Raw genomic sequence first — 14,682 nt, 5'->3', positions numbered from 1 at the left:
GCTGCTTGGGAGGCTGAGGCAGGAGAATCGATTGCACCTGGGAGGCGGAGGTTGCAGTGAGCCAAGACTGCACCATTGCACTCCAGCCTGGGCAACAAGAGCAAAACTCCATCTCAAAAAAAAAATTTCCTGGTGTTAGGAAAGAAAAGAGGAATGTTAAGGAATCTTAGTCTTTTTATTTACTTTAAATAATACTGGGTTTTCTTTTGTGAGGGGTTGGTTGTCTCCTTAGAGGGCTTTTGTATTTAACAGCTTAACTGAATATTAGGTCAAGAGATTTTGTTAATTTTCTAGATTATTTTGTGGTAATTTGTGTCCTCATTTTTTAGCACCTAGCATCTCTCCTGCTCCATAACAAATTTGCCACAGAATTTGTTGCGCATGGTGGAGTACAGAAATTACTGGAAATACCTCGTCCTTCTATGGCTGCAACCGGTGTGTCTATGTGTTTGTATTACCTATCCTACAATCAGGATGCCATGGAAAGAGTAAGTCATCTATACAGGTTTGTGGGGATGAGATTAGGTTGGGGATAACCTCTTTAAAAGATCACATTCGCAGAATGACTTTTGGATAAGAAAAAAACAGTAGTTGAAGGAATAAATTTTAATGAAACAAGGAACATGAAAGTCTAGTCTTTATAAAGCATTCTAAAAATGTAAAATTGTTTAGAAATGGTTCTATTTTTTTCTGACTCTTCTGGGAAAATGCTGGGTGGATTGGAGTCTGGGAGCTTTATTTAGTTTTTGCCATTTCTGTGGCATTAAGATTAGCCTTCAGGCACTTTTCCGATGTCTTAGTGCAATGACATTTATGAGTTATTGTAAAAACAACAGGCCGGGCGCAGTGGCTCACGCCTGTAATCACAGCACTTTGGGAGGTCGAGGTGGGTGGATCACCTGAGGTCAGGAGTTCAAGATCAGCCTGGCCAACATGGTGTAACCCCGTCTCTACTAAAAATACAAAAATTAGCTGGGCATGGTGGCAGGTGCCTGTAATCCCAGCTACTTGGGAGGCTGAGGCAGGATAATTGCTTGAACCCAGGAGGCGGAGGTTGCAGTGAGCCGAGACTGTGGCATTGCATTCCAGCCTGGGCTACAGAGCAAGACTCCGTTTAAAAAAAAAAAAACACACAACAGACCTAGTCTCTCACTGATTCATTCACACACACGTTTATATCGTATATAGGGGTGTATATGTTTGTGTATTTTTAGAGACAGGGTCTTGCCCTATTGCCCAAGTGCTCAGCCTGCCAGGTAGCTAGGACTACAGGCTTGTGCCACCATGCCTGGCTACTTTTTATACTTTTTTTTTTTTTTTTTTTTTACAGAATCTTGCTCTGTCTCCCAGGTTGGAGTGCAGTGGTGCCATCTTGGCTCACTGCAGCCTCCAACTCCCAGGTTCAAGCAATTCTTCTGCCTCAGCCTCCCAAGTAGCTGGGATTACAGGCGCCCACCACTGTGCCCAGCTAATTTTTGTATTTGTAGTAAAGACAGAGTTTCAGCACGTTGGCCAGGCTGGTCTCGAACTCCTGACTTTGTGATTCCCGCACCTTGGCCTCCCAAAGTGCTGGGATTACAGGCGTGAGCCACCATGCCCGGCCTTTTTTTTTTCTAATGACAGGGTCTCGCTCTGTTGTCCAGGCTGTAGGCTGTAGTGCAGTGGTGTGATCACAGCCCACTGTAGCCTTGACCTCCTGGGCTCAAGCCATCCTCCCACTTCAGCCTCCCAAGTAGCTGGGACCACAGACGTGCACCACCACACCTGGCTAATTTTTGTACTTCTTTTTTTTTTTTGTACTTTTTGTAGAGATTGGGTTTCACCATGTTGCCCAGGCTGGTCTCCGACGCCTGGACTCAAGTACTCCTCCCACCATGGCTTCCCAAAGTGCTGAGATTATAGGCATGGGCTACCACACTCAGCTGATGCTTGTTTTATATTAACAAATAGTTTGTTATGGAGATAATAAAACCATCCCAACTGTTCCTAGGGCTGCAGAGAGGTTTTCCATTTGGTTCTACTGTTTTTGTAGTTAAGACTCTTTCATATATAATCTTTTTTTTTTTTTTTTTTTGAGACGGAATCTTGCTCTGTCACCCAGACTGGAGTGCAGAGGCGGGATCTCAGCTCACTGCAACCTCTGCCCCCTGGGTTCAAGTGATTCTCCTGTCTCAGCCTCCTGAATAGCTGGGATCACAGGCACGTGCCACCATGCCTGGCTAATTTTTTTTTTTTTTCAGTAGAGACGGGGTTTTACCATGTTGGCTAGGCTGGTCCTGAACTCCTGACCTCAAGTGATCCACCCGCCTCAGCCTCCCAAAGTACTGGGATTACAGTCATAAGCCACCGTGCCTGGCCTTGTGATTTTTTAAAAAGTGTAAATGGGTTACACATACGTATGTGGTTTTTTGTTTTTGTTTTTGTTTTGAGGCAGGGTCTGGCTCTGTCGCCTATGCTGGAGTCCAGTGGCATGATCTTGGCTCACTGCAGCCTCGGCCTCCTGGGTTCAAACCATCCTCGCAAGTAGCTGGGACAACAAGGGCACACCACCACACCTGGCTAATTTTTGCGTGTTTTGTAGAGGCAGGGTTTTGCCATTTTGCCCAGGCTGTGGGTTATACATTTGAAAAGCGATGGGCTCCTGTGATCCCCTAGGAAAGCAAAGCTCTTGTTACTTCTATTTCTGGGACATTTTTCTAATATTCTTATTTGGTGTCTTTTCTGGTAGAGTGAAATGGGTAATTTCTTCTCGAGCTATGACATTATTTATCTTTGCTTATTAATAATATCAGTTTTAATTTGTTTTTATTTTGGTGTTTATGCAAGATAGGTAGTCTTTTGGGAGTAATAAACTAATCTATGTGTGTACATACAAAATTACTTATGGCTAAGATAGAGAAAAAAATATCAAGGAAACCTGGGGATGCTTTACAGTTTCATTTTCTGACCCATAGTAGACATCAAAATGTGTGTGAATTAACCAGAGAATGAATACCAAACTCCTAGACTTAGGATCAGAAATCTGAGCCACTTTTATCACATTTGGAGAAGTTCCTTACCTCTTCCTCTTCTTTTAAGTGAGAATCCTAATACCTGTATAATGGAGCCCTCGTGAGCATTAAATGATGTAAATATTTGTTGGCACTCAGTAAGTATAGGTTGTATTTAAATATTTATCTAAATTTAGGTCGTTTTCAGGTTTGGAATGGATCGTGTTCTAAAATTGCCTTTGTATTATTACCTAAACTTTGTACTAAGAGTGACTTGATTGGAGATGGTCATTGTATTCTGCAGATATCTATACTGGCAAATTTTCCATCCTGTTCAAGGGCTCCTTTGCCCACAATTTAAAAGCATTGTTTTATTTGTATTTTTTTGCAGGTTTGCATGCATCCCCACAATGTTCTGTCTGATGTGGTGAACTATACCCTGTGGTTAATGGAGTGTTCTCATGCTTCAGGATGCTGCCATGCTACCATGTTTTTTTCAATTTGCTTCTCATTTCGGGCCGTCTTGGAGCTCTTTGACCGCTATGATGGTCTTCGTCGTCTGGTGAACTTGGTGAGGTTCTTTCAGTGCTTTTCTCCCTAGGATTGAGGGTCCTGGTTGTCTTGGCTGCCCTTTAACGGCACACCCTTGAAGAAAGGAAGCTTCTGATTAGAGGAGTTTTGCTGCCATTCTTTTTGTGAAGTTTTTTTTTTTTCCCTTTCTTCACAAATTTCTCTTTTTCTTTAGTAGTTAGAGGACACTGTGCCGTTGTAGACTTGCCTTGGATATAGTAATCTTATAACGGGGATTGGCAGTTGATGATCTTGATCTTTGTAAAAGCAATAGTTTTATTCCTGTACATTTTTTAATATGATTAAAAGCTTGTTCATTTTTTGGTATGAGTTTAATGTTTTGCTTTCATATAGCTACTGTTAGCATGCTATATACATAGATATACATAAATATGCGTTGATATTTGTCAGTCTTGTTAAGCATAAAAGTTTACTGATACATAAGCAGAATATGTATGGAAAGTAAAAAAAGTTTACTAAAATATTTTCCCTTTTTTAAATATTTTTACTTAACTCTTCTTGCCTTTTCCCCTCTTTTGCCCCAATATTTTGCATCTTAATAGATCAGTACTTTGGAGATTCTAAATTTGGAAGATCAGGGTGCACTTCTGAGTGATGATGAAATATTTGCTAGCCGCCAAACTGGGAAACATACCTGCATGGCCTTGCGCAAATACTTTGAGGCTCACCTGGCCATTAAATTGGAACAAGTGAAGCAGTCACTTCAGAGGACTGAGGGTGGCATTCTTGTCCACCCACAACCCCCGTACAAGGTGAGAGGACCTTGCCTTGAAAGGGAAAGTTCTGTTAGCCCTCTCTGTAGCATCTCAGTCCTGAAACTCACATTCAGATCAGTGGACTCTGTGCTATGTCCATTGTTGGAGTATACTTCCCTGTATGAAGGCAGAACAATTGAAAAATGGATGTAATAGGTGAATTTCAGGGAATTATTTTGCTTCCAGTTGTAAGTTGCTGGGATTCTAGAACTAAAAGATTAACTGAAGTGTGTATAAAAAAGCTTTCTTTTTTTCTTTTTGAGATACGTCTCCCTCTGTCACCCAGGCTGGAGTGCAGTGATGTGACCACACCTCATTGCAACATTAACCTCCCAGGTTCAGGTGATCCTCCCACCTCAACCTCCTGAGTAGTTGGGGGACTATAGGCACACACCACCACACCCAGCTAATTTTTAAATTTTTTTGTGGAGATGGGGGTCTCACTATGTTGTCCTGGCTGGTCTTGGAACTCCTGGACTCAAGCAGTCCTCCCACCTCGACCTCCCAAAGTGCTAGAATTACAGGTGTGAGCCACTGTACCTGGCAAAGAGCTTTTTTGTATGAAAAGTACTAGATGATTTGCCTTCTGTGCAGAATTTCTTTTCTGAAAATGTGTTTATAACTCCACTTCACTATCATTGTGGAATTTGATATGTTTTGGGATAATGACGAGTAGCTGCATGTTTTTTAAAAAATCACCAGCAGATTTCTTGAGACCAGCCTGGGCAACAATAGTGAGACCCTGTCTTTACAAAAATTTTAAAAATTGGCTGGGCCCTGTGGTGTGCATCTGTAGTTCTAGCTACTTGGGAGGCAGAGGTGGGAGGATCATTTGAACCCAGGAGTTCAAGACTGCAGTGAGCTACGATCATATCACTGCACTCCAGTCTGGGCAGAGACTGTCTCAAAAAAAAAAAAAAAAAAAAGGGCATGGTGGTACACCTGTGTCAGCTACTTGGGAGGCTGAGATGGGAGAGTCACTCGAGTCTGGGGGTTTGAGGCCGCACGTGATCGGGCTATGGCACTCCAGTCTGGGCAACAGAGTGAGAACCAGTCTCAAGAAAAAAAAAAGTCACAAATTGAAATCAGTCACATGATGCTTCTTTCTCTTAAGCTGTAACTTATATGCACAAAGGAAACTTTTGTTATCTTTTTGGACAAATCATATTGTGAGTCTAGTTATAAATAAGATAAAAGATTAAGCAATCTATGGTCATTACTTCACATATGGGCTTTTGACTCAAGAATTGTGGAATTTGAAAGGTATTATTATTTAATTTATAATTAAAACCTTGGCCAAGCATGGTGGCTCATGCCTGTAATTCCAGCACTTGAGGAGGCTGAGGTGGGAGGATCGCTTGAGTCTAGGAGTTCAGGGCTGCAGTGAGCTATGATCATGCCACTGCACTCCAGCATGGGCAACAAAATGAGACCCTGTCTCTACAAAAAATAAAATAATTAGCTGGGTGTGGTGGCATGTGCCTGTGGTTCTAGCTACTTGGGATGCTGAGACAGGAGGGCAGCTTGAGCCTGGGAGATTGAGGCTACAGTGAGCCGTGATCAAGCCACTGCCCTCCAGCCTGGGCAGCAAAGTGAGACCCTGTCTTGAAATAAGTAAATAAAATAAAATCTCTTGGCCAGTGAGCTGTGCTCAAGGAGGTAGTAGGCAGATGTAGAGTTATATATAATAATAATACTATATATCTCTCCTTATAGGCATGCTCATATACTCATGAACAGATTGTGGAAATGATGGAATTTTTGATAGAATATGGCCCAGCGCAGCTATATTGGGAACCAGCTGAAGTTTTCCTCAAACTTTCTTGTGTGCAACTCTTGTTGCAGCTTATTTCTATTGCCTGCAATTGGAAGACCTATTATGCAAGGTGGGACCAGAGAGAGATTTCAAATGAAGTTTGATGCATCTTTTTGTTAAAGTTGATGTTGGTTTGCACATTGTATATGCTTAACAAACATTTGTTGAATTGAATTGAAATTTTGGACTTGAATCTGAGAAATTAGATTAGGCATGAAAATATGATTTTTAATTTACAGCACACTTGTTCATATATATGGTCTTGGTGATTGTAAAATTTGCATAATAGGCAAGGATTAGCCTCTGTACTGTCGGAGAAGGTACATGATTTACACGGCCACAGCTGCAGAGCTGGGGTTAAAGTCTTGTCTTGAGCCTGGAGTCCAGGATTCTTTAGTACTTAAAGTGTCTTGCTACTACTTGACAACCATATATAATGTTTATATTACGTTCATATAAAATTGTCCTTTTACTCTTGGAATTCGACATACTGTTAGGATTTTCACAAATTAGTTTAAGGCAGAGCAGGACAAGGCCCAGAAAAGGGTGGCTGATGTAATCAGGAAACTGGGTAGGTTCTATTTGAAGATGATATAAAAAGAAATAAAACTGTTTTGAAAAAGATGGGGTCTTAAGAGAAGATAGTAAAAAAGTTTATAAACAGAGTGCTTGACCTTCTTTTCCTATTCACTCACTGCCATAAAGATAAGAGAGGGGCTTATTTAGGGGAATATAGTAAGTTTGTTAAATCCCAGCATTTAAATATTGTAAGGTACTCTTGGAGCAGGTGTTATTAAACTTTTTGGTTTCAAGATACCTTTACCATATTAATAATTACTGAGAACTCTAAAAGGCTTTTGTTTTTGTGTTATATCTATCAGTATTAGAAATTAAAACAGAAAATGTAAAAATATTTATGCATTAAAAATGTGGGCCAGGCACAGTGGCTCATGCTTGTAATTTCAGCACTTTGGAAGGACGAGGTGGGCAGATCACTTGAGGTCCGAAGTTTGAGACCAGCCTGGGCAATGTGGTGAAACCCCATCTCTACTAAAAATAGAAAAATTAGCCGGGGGTGGTGTTACGCACCTGTAGTCCCAGCTACCTGGGAGGCTGAGGCAGGAGAATCAATTGAACCCAGGAGGCAGAGGTTGCAGGGAGCTGAGATCACGCCACTGTACTCCAGCCTAGGCGACAGAGCAAGTCTTCATCTCAAAAAAAAAAAAGTGAACCCATTGCATGTTTGCGTTATTCATGAAAAATTTCCAAAATAAAACCAGATAATTTTAGCAAGTTTGAAAAAATGTCTGGCCTAATATCTCATATCTGCTTCTGTATTCAGTTTTTGTGACATCACATCATCTCTGGAAGACTCTCTTACTATGCAATGAGAGAATGAGAGTGCAAAAGGAAAGTGACATCTTATTATTACGAAAATAGCTTTGACTTCACAGGACCTTCTGAAAGGGTCTCAGACTTCTAGAGGTCTCCAGACTATACTTTGAGAAGTGCTGTTTTAGAATATTGGAAAAGTAGGTTATTATATTTATTTGGAGAATTGTTTAAAAAGTGATGATAGGCCAGGCGTGGTGGTTCATACCTGTAATCCCAGCACTTAGGGAGGCTGAGACGGGCAGATTGCTTGAGATCAGGAGTTCGAGACCAGCCTGGGCAATATGGTGAAACCCCATCTCTACCAAAAATAAAAAAAATTAGCCTGGTGTGTTGCCGCATGTCTGTAGTCCCAGCTACTAGGGACGCTGAGGTGGGAGGATTGCTTGAGCCCAGGAGGTAGAGAATGCAGTGAGCCAAGATGGTGCCACTGCACTTTAGCCGGGGCAACAGAGCAAGACTCTGTCTCCAAAAAAAAAAAAAAAAAAAAGATGACAGCTTACAAGATAACTAGAAAGGGTATAAATACATTTTTTAAACTGGTACATCTGTGTTTATTTATTTTTTTGTTGGTTTTGGAGACAGAGTCTTGCTCTGTTGCCCAGGCTGGAGTGCAGTGGCAGGATCTTGGCTCACTCCAACCTCCACCTCCCAGGTTCAAGTGATTCTTGTGCCTCAGTCTCTGAAGTAGCTGGGATTACAGACACGCACCACCAAGCCCAGCTACTTTTTGCATTTTTTAGTAGAGACGGGGTTTTGCCATGTTGGCCAGGCTGGTCTCGAACTCCTGGCCTTGAGTGATCTGCCTGCCTCAGCCTCTCAATGTGCTGGGATTATAGGCATGAAACACGGTCCGGCCTGTATTTGGATTATTGAAAAAATATGTCCTTGATTTTAAAAATTTATTTTTAGAAATAAAATTAATAAATGTTTCTGCTTTAGAATATGCAGAATCTTTTAAAGAGAAAAGAAAATTACTCTTAGCATTCACTACGTAATATTTGCAAATACACATAATTAATATTATACTTTTAATCAAATTCATCTTTTTTATGAATATTTTCAAAACATAGAAAGGCACAGAGAATAGTTTAACAACTGCTCCATCATTAACCAGGATTGGCATGTTGTTGTATTTGCTTTTGGCTCAGTTCTTTTTCTGCCTCCCCAGAGTCACCCATCTTCTGAATTTGAACCATATTCTCCCCACTCATGTTTTTATACTATATATATCTGTGTGTTCATAAATAATAACGTCATACTGCTTTGCATGTTTTTAAATTATAAATATTTTCCTAAGTTCATCTTTCACAGCTTGCTTTTTTTACCCTTATATTCTTGAGATTTATATATGTTGATATTTATTTAAAATGCTGTATTTCTATACTGCAGTTTATTCTGCCATTGATGGCTAATTTAGTGTTTTTGTTTGGTTTTTTTGGCTATTAAATAAATGGTATCATGAACCTCCTTTTGGAGGCTCTCTTGAGGATATGATGTAGAGCATCTGGTTTGTAGGGTGTCTGTGTTCTTACCTTTATTGGATATTGCCAAATTGCTTCTAAAAATGTTCATACCATTGTCATCCCCCACCAGCAATATATAGGAGCTTTCATTTCTCTACTTTTTTTTTTCTTTTTTTTTTTTGAGGCAGAGTCTTGCTCTGTCACCCAGGCTGGAGTGCAGTAGTGGTGCAATCTCGGCTTATGGCAACCTCCGCCTCCTGGGTTCAAGCGATTCTCCTGCTTCAGCCTCCTGAGTAACTGGGACTACAGGCGCCCACTACCATGCCCAGCTAATTTTTGTATTTTTAGTAGAGACAGGGTTTCACCATATTGGCCAGGCTGGTCTTGAACTCCTGACCTCGTGATCCACCTGCCCTGGTCTCCCACCACACCCAGCCGGTTTTTTCTTTTTTAACTACAAAAGACATCCAACATTTCTCTACTTTCTTGCCAGTACTTGGTATTGTCAGATTTTTAATTTTATATCTTACATTTTTTATTTTTATATCATTAATGTTGTATTTTGAACCCTTTCCCTCATTCTTTAGGGTTCTTTGAAAATGATTGTCAATGGCTGTAGTTTATGAGTGTACTATACTCTAACACATATGGTGCTCTTGTCTATGTGGGTTTTCTCATTCTTTTGCTATTTTAATGTGGCTAATGAACATCTTAATACATAAATTCTTCTGATTATTTCTTTCTTTCTTTTTTTTTTTTTTTTTGAAACGGAGTCTCACTGTGTTGACCAAGCTCGAGTGCAGTGGTGTGATCTTGGCTCACTGTAGCCTCTGCCTCCCAGATTCAAGCAGTTCTTCCTGCCTCAGCCTCCTGAGTAGCTGGGATTACAGATGCCCACCACCATGCCTGGCTGGTTTTTGTATTTTTTAATAGAGATGGGGTTTCAACATGTTGGCCAGGCTGGTCTTGAATTCCTGACCTCAGGTCATCCGCCTGCCTCAGCCTCCCAAATTGTTGTGATTACCGGCGTGAGCCACTGCACCCGGCCTGAGTCTTTTTTCTTTTCTTTTTTTTTTTTTGTGGAGACAGAGTCTCTCTCTGTGGCCCGAGCTGGAGTGCGGTGGCTCAATCTCAGCTCACTGCAACTTCCGCCTCCTGGGTTCAAGCAATTCTCCTGCCTCAACCTCCCGAGTAGCTGGGACTACAGGCGCCCGCCACTAAGCCTGGGTAATTTATTTTTTTAATTTTTATTTTAGTAGTGACAGGGTTTGGCCATGTTGCCCAGGCTAGTCTTGAACTCCTGAGCTCAGGCAATCTGCCCGCCTCAGCCTCCCAAAGCACTAGGATTACAGGCATGAGACCACGCCTGGCCCTGGCCTGATTATTTCTTTAGGACAGATTGTCAGAGGTGAAATTTCTAGGACAAGGTTTATGAACATTTTAAGAATCTTGTTTCATATTTCCAGATTACTTTCTTTTTCTTCTTTTTTTTCATTTTTCTTTTTTTTTGTTTTTCGAGACAGGCTCTCACTCTGTTGCCCAGACTGGAGTGCAGTGGTGTAATCACGGCTCACCACAGCCTCAACTTCCTGGGCATAGGTGATCCTCCCACCTCAGCCTCCTGAGAAGCTGGGACTACAGGCACGTGCTACCACACCCGGCTAATATCTTATATTTTTTTTTTATAGAAAAAGATAAAACCATGTTGCCCATTCTGGTCTCAAACTCCTGGGTTCAAGTGATCCTCCCACCTTGGCCTCCTAAAGTGTTGGGATTATAGGCTTGAGCCACCGTGCCTGGCCTCCAGATTACTTTCTGGAAAGAGTGTACTAATTTCTACTCTCACCAAAACTTTGAGAGTACGTGTCTCTATATGTTTTCACTAGGATGAAAGGATTCAGGATTATTCTATGTTTTTTATCATAGAAGTTTAATAGGTAAAAATTCCATTGCTATATTTTTTGGAAGTAATGTCATGGTGACTATAAAATCCTCTCTTGATGCGACAGCTTGAGATAGAGCCACACTGGTAGTGCTTCTGATTTATTGTCTCTGTGTGTATGTGTCTATCTGTCTGTGTGTCTCTCTCTCTGTCTCTCTTGATTCTTGTGGCTATACTCTAATTTCCCTTTGACTAATTCTTCCTGTCCAGGAATGACACTGTGCGCTTTGCTTTGGATGTCCTGGCTATTCTTACTGTGGTGCCAAAAATCCAGCTCCAGTTGGCAGAATCAGTGGACGTGTTGGATGAGGCTGGATCTACAGTCTCTACTGTAGGTAGGTTGTACTTTGCCATTTTTGTTGTTTCTTGGTCTGGATTTGTTTTTTCTTTGCCACTCTGGTCTTGGTTACTTACCTGACCTAATTTTGGATTTTAGAACAGAAGTAGTAGAGGGGGGCTCCTTGTCTGTCCTTTATAAGGAGTACCATTCAGCAGATCAGGAACTAATTTAAAAAAAAAAACCAAAAAACAAAAATACAAATGTAGGACCAGATAGTTTGATGTAAGGGAGTCATGCTAGTAAACTCAGGTTTTCTGAGTGGTACTGGCATTTCTGCTATAATGGTATATTATAGCTTTCCTGAAAAGCTCACACTCTGAAGAGTCTTGCACTAAAAATAAAGTTCATGGGAAAAATGGGTTGAGGCAGATAGTAAAAAACTTAAGCATCACAGCTTTCCAGGAGTTAAAGGGAAAAAAAAACAACAAAGTAAGCAGTTTTGTAACCTGAGTCAGTAATTGGCAGGTAGCTCAAAATGGGTAGAAACCGTCATACATATATAAAAAAAGGAAAATATACTTTGATAATATACTTTATTAAGAGCAAGGCTGATCAGGGCACTGCTGGGGTGAGCATGGGAAGTCGTGTGATGGGACAAGATGCAGGATAGGACTAAGACACAGGCACTTGGTTTTTAATTTTCTTAAAATAGAGTGGAAAGGGTTCTGCTTCCACAGTAGCAGCCCAACCGAGGGCTTTCTCCGTTCCTAAGGTTTTAGTGTATTAAAATTAATAAACCAGAAAAGGTCGAGCACAGTGGCTCACACCTGTAATCCCAAAACTTTGGGAGGCCGAGGCGGGTGGATCACCTGAGGTCAGGAGTTCCAGACCAGACTGGCCAACATGGTGAAACCCCACCTCTACTAAAAATACAAAAATTAGCTGGGCGTGGTGACAGGCGCCTGTAATCCCAGCTCTTTGCAGGGATGAGGCAGGAGAATCACTTGAACTCGGGAGGCGGAGGTTGCAGTGAGCCAAGATCACGCCACTGCACTCCAGCTTGGGCGACAGAGCGAGACTCTGCCTCAAAAAAATAATAAAACCAGAAAAAATTGCACATGAACCTTGATTACTTTTCCATAATTATGACATGATTTCCCTATTTAATAACTGCATATGAGATACCATAAAAATACATTGTAGTAGAACTGTCTGCACTTTATACAAACCCTTGCAGTTTTTACAAAAGTAATATAGTTTTTTAAAGTAAAAGTGAGTAGAACACCAAATTTTGACTCTGGAACAACTATTGAAGTTGGCCATTAGTTTTATGGTGAATAATACATAATTTTTTTTCCCATTAGGTATCAGCATTATTTTGGGAGTGGCTGAGGGTGAGTTCTTCATCCATGATGCTGAAATTCAGAAGTCAGCACTTCAGATTATCATCAATTGTGTGTGTGGCCCAGATAACCGAATATCCAGTATTGGTAAATTTATCTCTGGTACTCCTCGGAGAAAGCTGCCTCAGAACCCTAAAAGCAGTGAGCACACCCTGGCCAAGATGTGGAATGTGGTTCAGTCCAACAACGGCATCAAGGTGCTCCTGTCCTTACTGTCCATTAAGATGCCCATCACAGATGCAGACCAAATCCGGGCCCTGGCCTGCAAAGCCCTAGTGGGCCTGTCTCGCAGTAGCACTGTCCGGCAGATCATCAGTAAACTGCCCCTTTTCAGCAGCTGCCAGATCCAGCAGCTGATGAAGGAGCCTGTGCTGCAGGACAAGCGCAGTGACCATGTCAAGTTCTGCAAGTATGCTGCTGAACTCATTGAACGGGTGTCAGGAAAACCACTTCTCATTGGCACTGATGTTTCCCTAGCACGACTGCAGAAAGCAGATGTTGTTGCCCAGTCAAGGATCTCCTTCCCTGAGAAAGAGCTGCTTTTGTTGATACGAAACCATCTTATTTCTAAAGGGCTTGGAGAAACAGCAACCGTGCTGACAAAAGAGGCTGACCTGCCCATGACTGCTGCCTCCCATTCTTCTGCCTTTACCCCAGTCACTGCTGCTGCTTCTCCTGTCTCTCTACCCCGAACCCCTCGTATCGCTAATGGCATTGCAACTCGTCTGGGCAGCCATGCTGCTGTGGGTGCCTCTGCGCCTTCTGCCCCTACTGCTCATCCTCAGCCACGGCCCCCCCAGGGTCCGCTAGCTCTGCCCGGCCCATCTTATGCAGGCAACTCCCCTTTGATTGGTAGAATCAGTTTTATCAGAGAGAGGCCATCACCCTGCAATGGCAGGAAAATCAGAGTGTTGCGGCAGAAGTCGGACCATGGTGCCTACAGCCAAAGCCCAGCCATAAAAAAACAGCTGGACAGACATCTTCCTTCCCCACCTACGCTGGACAGTATAATCACAGAGTATCTTAGAGAACAACATGCTCGCTGCAAGAATCCAGTTGCCACCTGCCCACCTTTCTCCCTCTTTACTCCTCACCAATGTCCTGAGCCAAAACAGAGGCGGCAAGCGCCAATAAACTTTACGTCAAGGCTAAACCGCAGGGCATCATTTCCAAAGTATGGAGGGGTGGATGGCGGATGCTTTGATAGGCACCTTATCTTTAGCAGGTAAGAAGAGGCCCCTTCTTACTCCCTGGGAATTGGAATGATTCTTTTATTTAAATCAAACTGGGCAGTATCAGCATAGTTGTCCTGAAATACCACTGATTGTTACTTTGTGTAATACTTGAACAATGTAATTGTACCACCTTTTGTCAACCATGGGTTCCTTGTGTGATTGTTGGCAGTATATTGATATAATCGTTTGTGTTCTCATCTCAACTAGTATGTTTTCTAGAACCCACACCCCCTCATTACTACTGTCCATAAGGAGGCTCCCAAACTTGTGCTGGTGCAAGTTGCTTCCTGTTCTGATTCTTGACAAATCTTACATAAAGGTTACGGGATCACAGGTTTTAAACATGGGAATTTTTTTTTTTTTTGGAGACGGAGTCTCTCTATCGCCCAGGCTGGAGTACAGTGGTGCTATCTTGGCTCACTGCAACCTCTGCCTCCTAGGTTCGAGTGATTCTCCTGCCTCAGCCTCCTGAGTAGCTGGGATTACAGGCAGGCACCACCATATCTAGCTAATTTTTGCATTTTTAGTAGAGATGGGGTTTTACCATGTTGGCCAGGCTGGTCTTGAATTCCTGACCTCAATTGATACCCCCCCTTCGGCCTCCCAAAGTGCTAGGATTATAGGCATGAGCCACTGTGTCTGGCCTAAACATGGGAATTTTTGTTATTTAAATTTGTAAGTGGAAATCTTTTTCTTATTTAAAATAAAAAGCACTGAAGGTCACTGTGATTTTGGAAGAAGCCATTTGAAACATTAATGTTCTGTGCTTTTTCTTCTATCCTAGCAGTTTGCTTTTTCTGAGTCCCTGCACA

The 14,682-nt window shown here is 41.9% G+C and overlaps 1 protein-coding gene across 43 annotated transcripts in view; it reads left to right on the top strand.

The window, feature by feature from the left end:
- DCAF1 (DDB1 and CUL4 associated factor 1) overlaps window positions 1-14,682 on the top strand; it is a 109,773-nt gene that overhangs the window by 72,046 nt on the left and 23,045 nt on the right. For 37 of the 43 annotated variants that reach the window (XR_007095776.1, NR_146065.2, XR_007095774.1 and 34 more), the window contains 6 exons: window positions 330-488; window positions 3,382-3,561; window positions 4,124-4,333; window positions 6,053-6,222; window positions 11,163-11,287; window positions 12,597-13,860. Coding sequence is in view for 33 of the 43 variants with exons in the window: in NM_001171904.2 (NP_001165375.1) it covers window positions 330-488; window positions 3,382-3,561; window positions 4,124-4,333; window positions 6,053-6,222; window positions 11,163-11,287; window positions 12,597-13,860 (2,108 nt within the window). In the remaining 10 variants the exon portion in view is untranslated. Of the gene's footprint in view, window positions 1-329; window positions 489-3,381; window positions 3,562-4,123; window positions 4,334-6,052; window positions 6,223-7,585; window positions 7,685-11,162; window positions 11,288-12,596; window positions 13,861-14,682 lie in introns of those variants that run through there. The other 6 variants (XR_007095778.1, XM_047449282.1, XM_047449279.1 and 3 more) reach the window with 2 other exon arrangements.

Source organism: Homo sapiens, chromosome 3 (assembly GCF_000001405.40).
Source record: "Homo sapiens chromosome 3, GRCh38.p14 Primary Assembly".
Lineage (NCBI taxonomy): Eukaryota > Metazoa > Chordata > Mammalia > Primates > Hominidae > Homo > Homo sapiens.
The sequence above is the reverse complement of the archived record's forward strand: the minus strand, read 5'-3'. Positions and strand labels throughout refer to the sequence as shown.